Here is a 12,672-nt window from a genome sequence, read left to right as displayed (position 1 = left end):
GTATGTATGGATATGTGTATTGTGTACATGTGTATATGCAGATGAGTATATGTGGATGTATATGGATGTGAATGTATGGGTGTGTATATGTACACATGTGGATGCCTGCATACATATATGTATGTGAATGCATGTATGTGGATGTGTGTGGATGGATGTGTGTATGTATGTATGTGAATATGTGGATGTGTACACGTGTGGATGTGGATATGTGCTGTGTGCACGTATGTGTATATGTATGTGAATGTGTGTATGCATATATGTAGATGTATGTGAATGTGTATATGTGTATATGTGGATGTGTGTATATGTAGAGGTGTATATGTGGAGGTGTGTGTGTGTGTGGATGTGAATATGTGTATGTGGATGTGCACGTGTGTGGATGTCTATGTGTGGATATGTGGATTGTGTGTATATATATGTATGTGAATGTGTGTATGTGTATATGTAGATGTGTGTGGATGTGTATATGTCTGTGTGTGTGTGTGAACCATTTGAGAGTAAGTTGCAGATATAATGACCCTTCACCCCCAGATTCTCTACCATGTGTCTCCTAAGAACAAGAACCATCTCTGTAAACCAAAGAGCAAATATTTAATTCAGGAAATTGAATACTGATACAATGCCATTATATAATATCAAATATATTTAATATTATCTTTATTCACATTTCACCAGTTTTCCCAATATTCTCCTCCAAAGCAATATTTTTTCAATCCATATTCCAATCCAGGATACTTATTTTTTTGTTCCCCTTAACCTGTATGATTGAGAGAGATTTGGCAGACTTGTGTTGTGCACATTTCTCTTCGTGTTTTTTGCTTGCTGTCTGTACTTTGATGCTACATCCATGTATATGCACTGGGGCACTGTGTTTGGTAAGGAGATGTCATCCATTCAAGGATGCGTCCTTCCACTATAAGGACTTTGCTGGAGATGAGGACAGTTCTTCAGCTCACCCCTCCTAGATTTTCATGCTGAGTAGACGGGCTTGGAGAGCTTGCGCTGAAGCAGCTGAGAACCACCACATTTTCCCTAGAGGACGCCATTTAAGATCAAGAGGATCCCTGCATCTAAAACTCAGTTTCTGGGGCAAAAAGGACTTCTGAAGATAAACTCTTATTGAGATATTTCCTGCTCAGTAAGGAAAAAAAAAGGCTGAGTGCCGTGGCTCATGCCTGTAATTCTAGACTTTGGGAGGTTGAGGTGGGAGGATCACTTGAGGCCAGGAGTTTGAGAACAGCCTGAGCAACATAGCAAGACCCCATCTCTTAAGAAAAAAAAAAAAGAATAAAATGGGTAATTAAAAAAGGATAAAAAAGAAAATTAAGCCAGTCGCGGTGGCTCACGCCTGTAATCCCGGCACTTTGGGAAGCTGAGGCGGGCAGATCACGAGGTCAGGAGATCGAGACCATCCCGGCTAACACGGTGAAACCCCGTCTCTACTAAAAATACAAAAAATTAGCCGGGCGTGGTGACGGGTGCCTGTAGTCCCAGCTACTCCGGAGGCTGAGGCAGAAGAATGGCGTGAACCTGGGAGGCGGAGCTTGCAGTGAGCCGAGATTGCGCCACTGCACTCCAGCCTGGGCGACAGAGCAAGACTCTGTTTCAAAAAAAAAAGAAAAGAAAATTAAAATAGGATAAACCAAACAGAAACAAATGAATCTAATATTACTTCAGATGAGTAACATATCCATACTGGAGAAAAGAAAAAAATGTTTAATTAATTAAAAAAACCTATTCCAAGTAATTTTGAATGCAGTACTCTATTTCTCCTCAGTTTAAAACCAAAAAGAACTAAATAGATATTGAACTTCAATTAGAATGTTTGTTTATCTCAACGGTATGTGTTTGCAACACTGAAGCTTTTTCTATATTATGTGGGATTGAGCAAATGAATAAATAATCAGAGCCAGGTTTCCCACCATTAAAAAAGGGAATTAGAAATAGTGAATTTGGCCAGGCATGGTGGTGTGTACCTGTGGTCCCAGCTACTCAGGAGGCTGGGGTGGGAGGTCACTTAAGCTCAGGAGGTCCAGGTTGCTGTGAGCTATGATTGCACCAGTGTACTCCAGCCTGGGTGACAGAGTAAGACCCTTCCTCAAACAAAATAAGAGAGAGAGAGAGAGAGAGAGAGAAAGAAAGAAAGAAAGAAAGAAAGAAAGAAAGAGAGAAAAGAAAAAGAAAGAGAGATAGAGAAAGGAAGAAAAGAAAGAAAGAAAGAGAGAGAGAAAGAAAGAAAGAGAAGAAAGAAAGAGAAAGAGGAGGGGAGGGGAAGGGAGGGGAGGGGAGGGGAGGGGAGGGGAGGGGAGAGGACAGGAGAGGAGAGGAGAGGAGAGGAGATCCATGGAAAGTACCAGATAAGTCTAGAGAAAGGAAAGGATCCATGGAAAGTACCAGATAAGCCTAGAATACATTGTTGTGCCAGAACACATAAAGAAGTGCTCAAAAAATAATGAGATGGGCCAGAAGGACACTGGGGCTGGCTTAATGGAGCACCCTCTGGAAAAACCCAGGACCACCTGAGCATCAAAATGATAAGATGGTAGTAGGTCATAATCCTTGTAATAAAATAAGAATCAATAGACCATACCAGTATTAATTAGTTATTTATCTCTTGAGAAAAGGTAAAGTCAATTAAATAATTTAAAACTGCTAAAGTTACAAAAGTCACTAAGAAAGGCCTTTTAGTTAGCTGACCTAAGTTCTAAGAACTGAGAAGGCAAAGTTGGATTCTTATATGGAGAAATCCTCCTGAGGGCAAGACTATGGTGTCTAGAAAGAAGGCTATGGCCATGGAGCCTCAGGCTCACCCCTAGAGCTGGCTACCACATTCTCTGTAGGATAGGTGCTAGGGAAGGGTTCACTTCCCCAGGTATGATAGCTGGAGAAAATCCAGAACATGCTGGAAGTACCCTGCCTGTGTTTGCTGTCACATTTATTTTCTATTGCTGTGTGATAAATTACCACTAAGTTAGGAACTTAACCAAGGCAAACTTAGCCTCGGTACAGGTTAATGGGAGTGCTCTGCTCAGGGACTTCACGATGTCGGTTGGGGCTGTTACCTCGTATGAGGCTCAGTGTTCTCACCCAAGCTCACGAGTTGTTGATGGAATCCATTTCCCTGTGGTTGTAGGACACAGGTCTCTGGCCAGGGACTCATCTCACCTTCAAAGCGGTGCTCTGGTTCCCGGCCATTAGGCCCTTAGGTAATTCCCAAAGTGGCTGTTTGCTTCCTTCCTGGCAAGCACCAGGTCACCCTGGATGTTTTACCCTCTTCAAAATGGCTCCCATGACCAGGTCAGACCCACCTAGATAATATCCCCTGTGATTAACTCAAAGTTAACTGGTAAGTAACCCAGTCACAAAAGTGATATCCTGTCATATTTGCAGAAGGGAAGGGTTCATAGCGGTGTGTACACAAGAGGGCTGGAACCTCAGGGGCCCCCTTAGAATTCCATCTCCCATGACTGCTGGTAACAGGAGAAATTCAGCCAGGAATTCAGTCTCACTGTGGATAATAAATCACTTTGTAGATAATGAGAGGGGCTTATACCCTAAAACTTAGGTATTTTGCTTAAAAATTTAGGAGAAAAAAAAGCTGCAACAGTACTTGTGATAATTCATTCTAAGAATATAATTGAAAAACTATACTCTAAGATATGTACAAAATAATGCCTGCAACATTGATTATAAAAGTGAAAAATTTGAAACCAACTAAATACCTGTCGGTAGACTAGTGAAATAAATTATGGAGCATCTTTTTAAATGTTAGATCTATATTTACTGACATGGAAAGGTGTCCTAGAGATCCAGTCAAATGAAAAAGCAGCTTATGGAGCAGTGGATTCCAAATAACCTCAATTGTTTTATTTATACATATTTGCTTATACCTATGCATTTAGAAATCAAGAAATACACATATCAAACTGTTAACAGTTGTAATCTCGGTGGGGTGGGATTACAGAGATACCTTCACCTTTCACTTTATACTTCTGTACTACTCAAATTACTTTTAACAAGAATTTAATTTTCTTATAATTAGCAGCAAAAAGTTAAGTTACTTCCACTTTGACAAAATAGAGTAAGGAATCTTAGAGGAGGATATTATTTTCTCTTTTGGTCACTAAAATTACAATCCAGCCTTTTTTCTCTCCATCTTCAACTTTTCATACCATCCTGTCAAACAATACTAAATTGAGTGTTTTTTAAGAACAGAAAATTTGAGTTCCTTGCTTATGAATGACAAATATATAAAATGCATACAACTATAGGACATGTGGAGTAATTGGAACACAAAGTAAAAGGCCGTACTATATATTTCTAGAGCAATATGGTGATAATCGCAAACTCAAACAAAATCATTCATGTACTACAAATGTATTACTTGCTTATCAGCTTCGGATTCATTTACTTTTGAAATTTGCTTATTCCTTCTGTTAAAACATTGCTAAAACCATCAGCCAGTTCATCTTTAAGAAAATGCGCACTGGCTCTCGTGTCATATTGATTTCTCAATGTGTCATTACGGTTAAGTTATTCTACACCAAACAATGCTAATACTCTGAAATAATAATAGATTTCAGCCTTGCTCCAGTATTAGCTTCCAACATGTGGCTGTTTTGCATGTTAAGAATTAATACAACCTGCCAGGAGCCTCTCGTCAGTTTGCTTCCCAAGTTCTCACACACAGGCTGTGTGCTTTCCCATCAGACATATTTTATCCAAATAATTTTACAAAACAGTCATATTTTGGAAATGTCAAAATTTAAAATATATGCTCTATATGTGCACAGATGGCAACTCTGGCTGCTGTAAGCAACAGAAACTCAAGACCCAGACAAGCAGAAGTTCTTTTCCAGGAAGCTGCTAACGGAAAGCTCAAGCAATATGACACTGCAGACAATGCCTGGAAATAATTCATTAAGGGTCTTTATATAATCTAAATCACTTCTCCTGGAAAATCTCAGCTGTCCTCACTTCCCCTGTGTGGAGAAGCTATACTTAACTCCACCGAGATGGTGGAATCCTTTCTTGGGAGACACAATCCCCTGTTTAACTGCAATAGTCTACATATTGTCCTTGACAGTTCAGCTTGCCATTCAGCCAGACTGTAAAATAACAATAGCACCGGGGTGCCATCTGTTCCACCCAGGTGTGTGTGTTCTGTGACTCTGCTCAGCCTGCTGAGTGTGATGGGGGTGGGGAGGTTGGTCACTCAGCTTCTGTTTGGTTTTCATCATCTAAAGTGCCTTCTGAGTGGCTTGAGAGCATGGTTTTGTGCCTGGTACTCTTGTGTCATTATGTTCCATCTTAGAACCTGATGAGTCACCTGTATGTGTTTGTGCCTGGAACAAACACAGTGTTTTCACCTGAAATAACATAGGCCCGGTGAGTTTAGATTTGGCAAGGGCTGTCTCTGTTCTTGGTGAAAGGACTTCCATGCCCAAGAAGTAAGAGGTTCATCCAAAGCACAACTTCCCTGCAGGTTTTGGCGCTCTTCGTAGGAGCCATGCTGTAGTAACAAGCAGGAATGAGCGTGTCTTAGTCCCTTTTGTGCTGCTAGAACAGAATACCACAGACTGGATAATTTACAAAGAAGAGAAAATCATTTTCTCACAGTTCTGGAGGCTGGAAAATCTAAGATCTAGGTGCTGGTATCCAGCGAGAACCTTCTTGCTGTGTCATAATATGGAGGAAGGCTAGAGGGTGAGAAGAGAGACAGCCTACTCTCCAAAGCCTCTTTGTAAAGGCAGTAAGCCCACCCAAGAGAGTGGAGCCCTCATGGCCTAATCATGTTTTAAAACCCCACTTCCTTATACCGTTACATTGACAATTAAATTTCAACATGAGTTTTAGAGGGGCGAGCATTCAAACCATGACAGAGAGTAAACATCTGCCTAACTTCAGAAACCATTTGAAAGCCAACACTTCTCCAAGGTTCTCAGGCTGGCTGGTCTTCTCCCGGTTTTCTTTAAAGTAACCTATCTGGGCCAGCTGATGAACTGAAGTGGGATAGGATGAATTTCATAAAACATGCACAGATCCTCATTTTAAAATAACAAAGATAGGCCCTTCAATGATTACATAGACTATTAAAGAAAGAGAGTCTGGTCGTCCCCGCCTAACAGTCCAGATGGAAAAGACGATGAAATCAGAGTTCAAAGTATATGAAAAGAAATGTTTTGGTTTATTTGAGTAGTACAGCCTGAAGCAACCAGCAGCAGGTTTGAAATTTCCTTGGCCACTCATGTTTTATCATAAAAATTGACGTAAATTCTGTGTTCTCCTCCGCAATATATCTATATTGTTCATGTCAAAAAATAGCATTACCAACATTTCAACACAAGGGGAAAGAGGGGCCATCTCTTACCTGTTTTGCTGCATGACTTGCAAGATGCTGTACTTATACCCTTCTTTGGATTCTGGAAAACAGGCCCCTGTTGAAGAGAACTGCCACTGCACCTCAGAGTTGGCAATGAGCAACTTCTTCTCTCTGTTTTGGCATTGCCACGTTTTGAGAATCCAAACTTACTCACAAATCATGCATTAAAATATCCCTCAAGGAAAATGCACACGTACACACACACACACACACACACACACACACACACACACACACTGCACTGCACATGCCACATAAAGTATTGAAAAGCGTGGCAAGAAATAACACCAAAGAGCAGCAATTGAATGAAGGACAAGTGAACACAAAGCAAACAGACCATATTGATCTCAGATCATACCTAATTATGGAATTACCATTGTCTTGTCCCCTGGTGTTGTCGCTCACTTTCTCTCCTGGCATTCTTTTTCGGGTGCCTTCTATTCAGCCTGCTTATTTCCTCAATATCATTTTCCAAACTCACCGCTTTCAAATAAACACCCTCTCCCTTAGGTTCTTCTCTGTTTCCCATAGCACACATAAAGCCCAGTGCCACCGTCTCAGGTCCACTTTATGTGCTCCAGCCCTGCTCTTGTCCATTCCCAGTGCCGCTTGCATGCCTTCCCCATGGTCCAGAGGATCCCCACCACTGGAAAATCCTGTTGTCACCTCAGTTTAAGCCTGGTGGGATCCTTGCCCACCACGACCCACCTTGAGATCCTGTTCTTTTCAGGACAACTCAAAGAAATGACTTTGCAAGGGCAGTGAAAGTTACTAGCATAAAAATATGATACGACTGGTTGTTGTAGGACAAGTGCCAAGAAGTATAGAAAGTAGACAGCAACTACCTTCCTCTTCTGCAAGTAAGGAGACTGATTGGCATGGTTATGGGAAGTAGAGAAGGGAGTTATATTTTGGAATGCTATGAAGAGATATTTGAAACTCTTGCAGATTTAATTATTCATCTCTTTTAAGATCCACTTTCTCCAGGAACTACGTTATGGACCAGCAGGTAGACACATAGACTAATGCCTTAGGTTGGCACTATGTAGAAAAGTGTTAAATTCAGCCTCTTAATCCAGAAATTCTTCTAGGAAACTAAATAAATACTCTCTTATGGGTTCAAAGGTTAGTACATTCGAGGATTGTTTTGGTGCAGTATTAATTGGAGTTAAACTTGGAAACAACTTAATGTCCATTAGGAGGTAAGTTAAAGAAATTGTGATGCATTGATACTGTGGAATATTATGCAGCCATTAAAAAGGATTAGAGACCTGCAGAGATCTTCAAAATACATTGATAAGTGAAAAAAAGGCAGACAGAGCAATGCATACTGTATGATAATATTATATGTATATGTTTGTGTGTGTACATGAATATATGTACATTGCATGTGTGTACACATAGACCCAGTGCTATCCACATAAGGTTCTATGCAAATTAGAATTCTCCTGCAAAGCACTTCATTTCTATTTGTTGTGAAAAAAAGTTATAATAAATAAACAAATCTTTAGAAACCTAAACAGAAAAAATGAACTTTCCTCCTAAGACCCTCTGGGAAGTTATATTCTAAATACCAGAGCTTTAATTAACTAGGAATTAACTAATCAGAACCCCAACCAATTTTTGACATGCTACCTGTTAGAGAAAGGTGAAAGTCCCTCATTAGAATAAACTTGCTCATACCAGGGATAAAGCATCTACTTCTCCCACCCCAAAAGGAAAAATCCAGGTCATTCTCTAGCATTAGGACCCAGTCTAATCACCCACACTCTTCTTGTCTTCAGAAATTGTGCAATAACTCCAGAAATCACAAGATCCTCTTAAAATGCTCAATTATCTTTAGAATACTTTAATCACATTGGAAGAATTGTGGACAGATACATTCTAGAAATACTTCCAACAGCAGATTAAAACAAAACAATTATATTAGCTCTAAATTAAATTTTAAGTGTTTTACACATAAAAATCCCACTCTTCAAGCTCTTATTGTAGTTTAAATTTTTACTCTTAAAATGATGTCAGCTAGAAGGGAATAAAATAAACATTTAACCCAAAATCTCACTAATGATTTGTAGTTTTGGTTAAAGAAAGAAAACTTTTTTTTTTTTACCTCAAAACATTTTAGGAAGTAGTTGATACTAATGAGCTTCATACCATCTTCCCTCAGGGAAAATAGCAAGTGTTTGTTTGTTTGTTTGTTTGTTTGTTTGTTTTTCAGACAGAGTCTCACTCAGTCACCCAGACTGGAAGGCGCTGGAGTGCAAGGGTGAAATCCCGCCTTACTGCAAACACCGCCTCCCATATTCAAGCGATTCTCCCACATCAGCCTCCCGAGTAGCTGGGATTACAGGCACCCACCATCATGCCCGGCTAATTTTTGTATTTTTGTAGAGATGGGGTTTCACCATGTTGGCCAGCCTGGTCTTGAACTCCTGACCTCAGGCGATCCACCCACCTTGGCCTCCCAAAGTGCTGAGATTACAGGTGTGAGCCGCCGCGCCTGGCTGCAGGTAGGTTTTAAAGACTCATAATTCAGAAACCATCACACAAGGTCTCCCACCCCACCTCTTCATCCCACATTTACATCATCTGAGATTCTTCAGACACTATTTTCCAATTCAGTATTAACCACAGGAGAGGAAAAGGCCTTGGGCACACTTTTGAACACTTATCAACCTTGGCTGTCGGAACAGTTTGTTACCTCCACCTCCGTATGGCCCCCACGTTTCCTTTCCTTCTGACCTCACCAGAGGCAGAGAGCAGGGGTCCCACTCTCTCCCTGCAGGTGGTCTTTCCTATCATATTCAAAAACCATTGGTAAGTTTTCCTTCTGCCTGAGGAAAGAAACACCCACTGTGTGAAAGGGAACATGGATAAATTTTTAAAGTTTTTGGAGCATCCTCAAAAGCACAAGATGGGAAGAGTAATCCACCACCACCCTCCATAAAACAAGAAAGAAGCATCTGCCGTGTCCTGCTCGAACGAACAGTACGGGATGTTCACCTGAACAGTCGGTCCCTGCAAATCCCGAGAGATGTCCTGCATATGCATCTTTTGGAGTCTATCAATATTGATGCTGTGTTTATGAACTGAGTCACCATCAACCAAGGTCTCTCTCGTCCCCTCCAGCCTGCCCTATGTAAACACTTCTGTGATTCGAAGTGTGCGGTTTCTGGAAAAACAATACATCTAATTTTCTCCTTGTTCACAGAAATCATCTGTTTCTGCCATAAGGGCCTGTGAGAGGTAGAAGATTGTCATCCTACCTTTTCCAAGTAAAAACCTTGGCCCTGCATACAAATGACCTTCCAGTTCTGCAGACGTGGACCAAGAGAAAAGGTGTGCTCAACATCTGGCCACAGACAACTCCACTGTTGTAACAATGAAGTGGTATTTCCCCCAGGATGGAAACACGTGCTCAGGAGAATAAACAAACCTCTGAATGCTATCTGTAACAGCTCCATCTGCTGGTTCCCAGATAATGTTACAGATCTGACAGGTGGTCATCGATCATATTGATCCAATAATAAACAGTGCGTTATAATAGAAGTTTTGTCGTTTTTCTTCTCAATTCATCCAGAACTGCTCCTGCCCCAGATACCAGCTAGCATACGCAAACAGCAACTGGGGAAGCTAAAATGGAGAACAAGGATAGCTTTGGAAGACAATCTAGCTCAATGGAGAACTCTCCAGAATAAAGAATATAATAAAGGAACAGTGGGGCCCTGTCTGTCCGTCTTTGAAGCATCAGACAATAGACCTTGCTGTCCTGTTCCTTGGGTTTTCCTCCCCTAAGGTGGAGGTAGTGATACTTGTAACTGGGGTCCAAGTGATGTTAAGAGGATTACAGTAATGAGGCCATGCTTGGTATGCTGTGAGCTCCTAAAAGTCTTGAGTCATATAAAGACAGAGGCCTTATAATTACATCTTTATATTCACTGGAAGTTATTATTAAGCCTAAAATCTCCCATTAATTCAGCGAGAATTAGATGTCTATCAGAGACGTACAGTTGGATATTGTAATATCCAAAGGAAGTATGTTTGGTGAAAAAAAAAGATGTGAAAGGGCCATAGTAGGCAGAGCTCAAATAGGCCAAGTTCATCATTGTTTCACTGGCAGGAAAAACAGATCCAGGAAACTTTCTTGTCTTTTTTATTTAATACATATATGCCCACTTTCCTAATGGGATTGCTATCCCAAATTATTTTCATCTGCTTAAAAGTCATATACCATCAAATCCCAGAGGCCCGCCACCGCACTGAACACCCAAACCCAAGGCGTTTGTACTCAGAGGCAGGCACTAGAATTGGACTAAATTTTGGCATCACGAGGGTACGATGGCTTGGAGCCTTTGGGCCTTCTGTGATCTTCATCATCCCCACCCTAAACTCATCCAAAGTGTCATGGGTTAAATTGTGCCCCCTCCTGTCCAGAAAGAGGTATGTTGGAGTCCTAATCTGCAGTACCTCAGAATATGACTTAATTTGAATATAGGGTCTTTACAAACATAATCAAGTTAAATTTAAGTCATTAGGGTGGTGCCTAATTCCAATATGACTGGCATCCTTGTAAAAAGAGAAACTTTAGAAGCATGGACAGATGGGTAGAGATACAGAGAGAAGATGGTCATCTACAAGGCAAGGAGAGAGGACCCAAACAGACCCTTCCTTCACTACCCTCAGAGGGAACCATGCTGCCAACCCCTTGACTTTGGACTTCTGGCCTCCAGAAATGGGAGATTATAAGATTCTGCTTTTTAAGCCACCCAGTTTGTGGTACTTGTTACTGCACCCCCAGCAAAAAAATACGTCCAGTAAACACACCGTTTACGTAAAAACAGTTCGCTTGTTAATGTATCAATTCAATCATTTTAGAACAAGTCTAGAGTCATTTCATTCCCTCTGTGGCAGGCAGAATGGCCATGCCATTTTCTCTGAAGTGAAATCCTTACAATATAAAAAGTTGATCTGCAAACAATTTTAAATGTTAAACCCAAGAAGATTTCTAAATTCTCAGATGAGCTCTAAATTGACAAGAGGAAAAAAAAAGGAAACTTTTCCTCATTGCCAAGTCCTTTATCAAGTTCACTTCCATGGTGCTTCCCATTGAAATTGAAAACTGTCAAAGAATCGCTGAGATTTATGATGAGTTGTTTCTATCCACAACAGAACATCAACACCAGTTAAAATTTGACAACCATAATCTAGATGACAATTTTGTGATTGGGTCTAAATGTAATTTTTTCTTCCCCTGCTGCTGTAATTGACCAGGCCTTATCTTTTACTTTATTGAGATATCAGCCATGATACCTTTTTTCCCAAAAGATCACCCAAAGCGTGTAAACTCACCAGGGTCAGGTAAATATTAACTTCTCAAAGAAAACCCTAGAGGGCTCAAAAGCAAACCTTGTAATTCAGCCGATGCATTGTGCATCACCTATGGAAAGCTGTTCAGGATGGGAAAAGTATAACTAAGTATAATTTCCTGCCTTCGCTCTCCCACTCCTAACATGTTAGACATGTCAGAGAGTCGGCGACCATGAATCCAGAATAATTCCATGAAATGCCAATCCACTCTCTCTGCACATCTTTTTCTAAGTGTTTTACTTCCAATATTTACATTTGCATGATGCCTTCGAGGAAAAACCTAGGCTCATTATTTATTCTCCATGTTGTACCTGCCAGAGCAATATGCCCTGCCTTGACATTCCCTTTCTCAGTGGGGTACTCATAACCCCCAAAGGGAGGAAGGACAAAGAAAAAGGAGGGGGCACTGACTGTGATCCATGCAGTGCAAGAGAGAAGGAGCTAACCTATGGTGAACCCACTGTGATGAGACAACTGCCCCACCCTCTAGACTGCCTTGAGCCTGGAGCCCTTCTAACCACAGGACTCAGTGCAATTCAGTCCTGTTCCAATCTAGGGGCTTTGCATCTGTAAGATAAATACATCACAAATACAAACCCTCCAACCAAAAACCAAAGGATCAGATTTACGTGTCAAATTTAATACTTCTCTAAACCAATATTACTGGAAAGTGACATGATTTTCCACTGCAAACCTCTAGTCTTCTGCTGCATCTTTTTACTGGAAAGCAATAACAGGATGCCTGAGTCAATCATTTATTTAGTCTTGAATGCCAGCAGCTGAGATAAATAGTGTCCCTCATTGCCACCAGTAGAATGGACTGAAGAGAAGGAAAACACTACAAGGGAAAACAAAATTAAAAGAAATGGAAATGGAGGAGAAAAACCAAGTACATGTAGAAAAAAACGGGAGAATTCAGA

At 40.8% G+C, this 12,672-nt stretch overlaps 1 long non-coding RNA gene across 1 annotated transcript; it reads right to left on the bottom strand.

Annotated features, from left to right (window-relative positions):
- Positions 1 to 3,848: 3,848 nt before the first annotated feature.
- On the bottom strand, positions 3,849 to 9,755 carry BETALINC1 (Beta cell long intergenic noncoding RNA 1). The gene is made up of 2 exons (XR_007067726.1): positions 9,652 to 9,755; positions 3,849 to 9,557 (listed from the first exon to the last, which is right to left on the bottom strand). It is a non-coding gene; the product is annotated as a Beta cell long intergenic noncoding RNA 1 (long non-coding RNA).
- Positions 9,756 to 12,672: the final 2,917 nt, after the last annotated feature.

Source organism: Homo sapiens, chromosome 20 (assembly GCF_000001405.40).
Source record: "Homo sapiens chromosome 20, GRCh38.p14 Primary Assembly".
In the NCBI taxonomy this organism is placed as follows: Eukaryota; Metazoa; Chordata; class Mammalia; order Primates; family Hominidae; genus Homo; species Homo sapiens.
The sequence above is the reverse complement of the archived record's forward strand: the minus strand, read 5'-3'. Positions and strand labels throughout refer to the sequence as shown.